The 5,981-nt window shown below is 46.0% G+C and overlaps 1 annotated feature.

The window, feature by feature from the left end:
• Window positions 203-1,123: an enhancer, noted in NCBI's record as "NANOG-H3K27ac hESC enhancer chrX:70560484-70561404 (GRCh37/hg19 assembly coordinates)". NCBI's record gives its function as "activates a minimal SCP1, AML or CMV promoter by ChIP-STARR-seq in primed H9 embryonic stem cells {active_cell/tissue: H9 hESC(primed)}" and the evidence as "EXISTENCE:reporter gene assay evidence [ECO:0000049][PMID:30033119]".

The raw sequence follows: 5,981 nt of genomic DNA, 5'->3' as shown, positions 1-5,981 counted from the left end.
GAGCGTCTCCGCCCGGCAGCCACCCCGTCCGGGAGGGAGGTGGGGGTCAGCCCCCGCCAGGCCAGCCGCCCCGTCCGGGAGGGAGGTGGGGGGGGTCAGCCCCCCAGCCGGCCAGCCGCCCCGTCCGGGAGGGAGGTGGGGGAGTCAGCCCCCCGCCCGGCCAGCCGCCCGGTCCGGGAGGTGAGGGGCGCCTCTGCCCGGCCTCCCCTACTGGAAGTGAGGAGCCCCTCTGCCCGGCCAGCCGCCCCGTCCGGGAGGGAGGTGGGGGGGTCAGCCCCCCACCCAGCCAGCCGCCCCGTCCGGGAAGGAGGTGGGGGGTGTCAGCCCCCCGCCCGGCCAGCCGCCCCGTCCAGGAGGTGAGGGGCGTCTCTGCCCGGCCGCCCCTACTGGGAAGTGAGGAGCCCCTCTGCCCGGCCAGCCACCCCGTGCGGGAGGGAGGTGGGGGGTCAGCCCCCCGCCCGGCCAGCCGCCCCGTCCGGGAGGTGAGGGGCGCCTCTGCCTGGCCGCCCCTGCTGGGAAGTGAGGAGCCCCTCTGCCCGGCCACCACCCCGTCTGGGAGGTGTGCCCAGCGGCTCATTGAGAACGGGCCATGATGACAGTGGCAGTTTTGTGGAACAGAAAGGGGGGAAAGGTGGGGAAAAGATTGAGAAATCGGATGGTTGCCGTGTCTGTGTAGAAAGAAGTAGACATGGGAGACTTTTCATTTTGTTCTGTACTAAGAAAAATTCTTCTGCCTTGGGATCCTGTTGATCTATGACCTTACCCCCAACCCTGTGCTCTCTGAAACATGTGCTGTGTCCACTCAGGGTTAAATGGATTAAGGGCGGTGCAAGATGTGCTTTGTTAAACAGATGCTTGAAGGCAGCATGCTCGTTAAGAGTCATCACCACTCCCTAATCTCAAGTACCCAGGGACACAAACACTGCGGAAGGCCTCAGGGTCCTCTGCCTAGGAAAACCAGAGACCTTTGTTCACTTGTTTATCTGCTGACCTTCCCTCCACTATTGTCCTATGACCCTGCCAAATCCCCCTCTGCGAGAAACACCCAAGAATGATCAATAAAAAAAAATAAAAATAAAAATAAAAATAAAAAAGAAATACATATACAAATATTTATTTGTATGTATAGAAATATACATATACAGGGCGGGCGTGGTGGCTCGTGCCTACAATCCCAGCACTTTGGGAGGCCAAGGCGGGTGGATCACGAGGTCAGGAGTTCAAGACCAGCCTGGCCAAGATGGTGAAACCCTGTCTCTACTAAAAATACAAAAAATTAGCTGGGCACGGTGGCAGGCGCCTGTAATCCCAGCTACTTGGGAGGCTGAGGCAGGAGAATCGCTTGAATTTGGAGGGCGGAGGTTGCAGTGAGCCGAGATCATGCCACTGCACTCCAGCCTGGGTGACAGAGTGAGACTCCATCTCAAAAAGAAAAAAAAAAAAGAAATATATATACATATATTTAATTATATCTAAAACTATATATACGTATATAGTTTCAAAAGAAGATAGGTATATGTATATAGGTATACAGTTTCAAAAGAAGGAAGGTGTATGTATATAGTTTTAGAGACAGGGTCTCACTCTGTCACCCAGGCTGGAGTGTGGTGGTGCAATCATAGCTCACTGCAGCCTCGAACTCCGTGGCTCAAAATGATCCTCCTGCCTCAGCCTCCTGAGTAGCTGGGACTACAGGCATATGCCACCATATCTAATTTTTTAATTTTTTTTTTTTTTTGAGATGGAGTTTTGCTCTTGTTACCCAGGCTGGAGTGCAATGGCACAATCTTGGCTCACTGCAACCTCCGCCTCCCAGGTTCAAGCAATTCTCCTACCTCAGCCTCCTGAGCAGCTGTGATTACAGGCACCTGCCACTACGCCCGGATAATTTTTGTGTGTGTGTGTATTTTTAGTAGAGACGGGGTTTTACCATGTTGGCCAGGCTGGTCGTGAACTCCTGACCTCAGGTGATCCACCTGCCTCAGCCTCCCAAAGTGCTGTGATTACAAGCATGAGCCACCATGCCCGGCCATAATTTTTAAATTTTTTGTAGGGATAGGGCCTTACTATGTTGGCCAGGCTGGTCTTGAATTCCTGACCTCAAGCAATCCTCCTGCATTGGCCTCCCAAAGTGTTGGGATTATAGGCATGAACCACCACACCTAGCCAGAAAAAATACTCGAAGAAATAATGGCCAAAAACTTCTCAAATCTGAGAAAAGACACGAATATACATGTTCAACAGTTAAACTCCAAGCAGGATAAACAAAGAGATCCACATCAAGACACATTACAGTCAAATTGTTGAAAGCCAAAGACAAAGGGATATTTTTTTTTTTTTTTTTAGAGACAGGTCTCACTATGATATTGCCCAGGCTGGTCTTAAACTGCTGGCCTCAATTGATTCTCCCACCTCAGCCTCCCAAAGTGCTGAGATTATTGAGTGTGAGCCACTAGACTGGAAATACCACTAAGAAAAAAACCTTAACATATAGAGAAGGAAAGAAGAAGGGAATCAAAATGGTACACCACCAAAAAAACAACTAAATTTTTAAAAGGCAGTAATGGAAGAACTGAGGAACGAAACCCATACAAGACATAAAGAAACAAATAGATGGCCGGGCACGGTGGCTCACACCTGTAATCCCAGCACTTTGGGAGGCTGAGGCGGGCGGATCACGAGGTCAGGAGATAGAGACCATCCTGACTAACATGGTGAAACCCCATCTCTACTAAAAATACAAAAAATTAGCCGGGCGTGGTGGCGGGTGCCTGTGGTCCCAGCTACTCGGGAGGCTGAGGCAGGAGAATGGCGTGAACCCAGGAGGTGGAGCTTGCAGTGAGCCGAGACCACACCACTGCACTCCAGCCTGGGTGACAGAGCGAGACTCCATCTCAAAAAAAAAAAAAGAAACAAATAGATAAATGGCAAAAGTAAATCCCTCTTTATCAGTATTCACATTATGTATACATGGATTAAACTCTCCTAGTAAAAGGCAGAAATTAGCAGGTTAGATTTTTAAAAAGATCCATCTATATACTGTCCATAAGAGTCTCATGTTAGATATAAGGACACAAAGAGATTGAAAGTAAAAAGATTGGGAAAGATACTGCATGCAAATAGTAATCAAAAGAGAGCTGTGGTGACTACATTATTGTCAGACAAAATAGGCTTTACACCAAAAAAGTTTAGACAAAGGACATTAAATATTGATAAAAGGTTTATACAGCAAGAAGATATAACAATTATAAACATGTATACACCTGTCTTAGTCCATTTTGAGTTGCTATAACAGAATACTCAAGACTGAGTAATTTATAAACAAAAAAGGTATTTAGCTCACAGTTTTGTAGGCTGGGAAGTTTAAGGGCATGGCCCTGGCTTCTGGCAAGGGGTTTCATGCTACATCATAACATGGCAGAGAAGGTCAAAGTGGAAACAGACACCTGTGAACAAACAAAAGTTGAGGGGCATCCTGATTTTATAACAATCCATTTTCATGGAAATTAATCCATTCCAGCAAGAACTAATCCAGTCTCACCAGAGCAGGAACTCACTCACTACCATAAGAATGATACTAAGCCATTCAAGAGGGATCTCCATCCCCCTCCATGAGCCAAACACTAGGCCCCACCTCCCAACATGGCCACACTGATGATCAAATTTCAACATGAGTGTTGGTGGGGACCAAATCATAGCAGCACCTAATAACAGAGTTCCAAAATATATAAGCCAAAAATTGACAGAAATGAAGGGGAAAAATACTTCTACAATAATAGTTGGAGACCTCAATACCCCACTTTCAATAATGGCCAATACAACCAGACAAAGGGTCAATGTAGAAATGGAAGATTTGAACAAAACTATAAACCAATTAGACCTAACAGACATATGCAGAACAATAGCAGAATACAAATTCTTCACAAGTGTACATGGAATATTTTGAGGAAAGACCATATGTTAGGCCACAAAACAAGCCTCAATAAATTGAAACAGATTGAAATAATCTTTTGTGATCTGATCACAATGAAATGAAACTAGAAAGCAACATAATTAAACTGGAAAATTCACAAGTATGTGGAAATTAAACAACACATTCTAAAACAATCAGTGGGTAATAGAAGAAATCACAAGTGAAATGAGAAAATACTTTGAGACAAATTAAAATGAAAACACAAAATACTAAAACTTACCGGATGCAGTGAAAGCAGTGGGAACAGGGAAATTTGTAGTTGTAAATACATACATTAAAAAAGAAATGTCTCAGCCAGGTGCAGTGGCTCATGCCTCTAATCCCAGCACTTTGGGAGGCCGAGATGGGCAGATCACTTGAGGTCAGGAGTTCAAGACCAGCCTGGCCAACAGGATGAAACGCTGTCTCTATTAAAAATACAAAAAATTAGCTGGGCGTGGTGGTGAGTGCCTGTAATCCTAGCTACTCGGGAGGCTGAGGTAGGAAGTAGGAGGCTTGAAGCAGGGGGGTAGAGGTTGCAATGAGCCGAGATTGTGGGACTGCACTCCAGCCTAGGCGACAGAGCGACACTCCATCTCAAAAAAAAAAAGTCTCCAATTAATAACCTAAATATATACCTTAAGGAATAAGAAAAAAAAGAGCAACCTTTGGGAAACAGAGGCAGGAGGACTGCTTGAGTCCAGGAGTTCAAGACCAGCTTCGGTAACAGAGTAAGACCCTGTCTGTTAAAAAAAGAAAGAAAAGAGAAAAGAAAAAGAAAAATAGAAAAGACCCAAATAATTAAAATCAGAAATGAAGATGGGAACATTATTACCAAACCGACTTTTCATAGCCTACATCTTAAGATTAAGGTGTTTAAAAACCCAGAGGGAGGGATTGAAACCGCCTTTGCAAAATTATAACTGAGACAATGAAAGAGATCTAACTTAACTGACTTCATCTTGCTTCTAACCTCCAAGCTGTCCTTGTTCATTCCTGGGCGCAGGCTGAACTAACTTTGGGAAAAACTTAGTTTATAGTTTATAGTTTAAACAAAGACGGTAACAGCCCTTTCCCAAAGCAGACCTCCTTTTTGCCTGGGGACTAGATTGCCTTTGTGAGACTAACATTAGCTACAAGATTAGAATTTACAGTTTAGGAGTCATGCAGCTGGAGGCTACAAGATTCTGACCCACCTAAACTGCTCCTAAAATCTGTGCTTGTCATGCCTGTAATCCCAGCACTTTGGGAGGCCGAGGTGGGCGGATCACGGAGTCAGGAGATGGAGACCATCCTGGCTAACACGGTGAAACCCTGTCTCTACTAAAAATGCAAAAAATTAGCTGAATGGCGTGAACCCGGGAGGCGGAGCTTGCAGTGAGCCAAGATGGCGCCACTGCACTCCAGCCTAGGTGACAGAGCAAGACTCTGTCTCAAAAAAAAAAAAAAAAAACCCTGCTCCCAGGATGCTCTGGGAGACTGATTTGAGTAATAATAAAACTCCGGTCTCCTCCACAGCTGGCTCTGCAAGAATTACTCTTTCTCTATTGCAATCCCCCTGTCTTGATAAATCGGCTCTGTCTAGGCAGCTGGCAAGGTAAACCTCTTGGGCAGTTACAATTGTAAAGAACTGTAAAGTAAGCCAGGTGTGGTGTCTCACGCCTGTAATCCCAACACTGTGGGAAGCCAACACGGGGCGGATTACTTGAGGTCAGGAGTTTGAGACCGCCTGGCCAACATGGTGAAATGCTGTCTCTACTAAAAATACAAAAATTAGCCAGGCATGGTGGTGTGTGCCAGTAATCCCAGCTACTCAGGAGGCTGGGGCAGGAGAATTGCTGTAACCCAGGAGGTAGAAGTTGCAGTGAGCTGAGATCACCCCACTGCACTCCAGCCTGGGCGACAGTGTGAGACCCTATCTCAAAAATAAATAATAATAACTGTAAAGTATTATAACAGAATACTATCAACAACTGTACACCAACAAATTGTATAACCTAGTTGAAATGTGTAAATTCCTAAAAACACA

This window comes from Homo sapiens, chromosome X (genome assembly GCF_000001405.40).
Source record: "Homo sapiens chromosome X, GRCh38.p14 Primary Assembly".
Classification (NCBI taxonomy): domain Eukaryota; kingdom Metazoa; phylum Chordata; class Mammalia; order Primates; family Hominidae; genus Homo; species Homo sapiens.
Note: the sequence above shows the minus strand (reverse complement) of the source record. Positions and strands in the feature narration are given on the sequence as shown.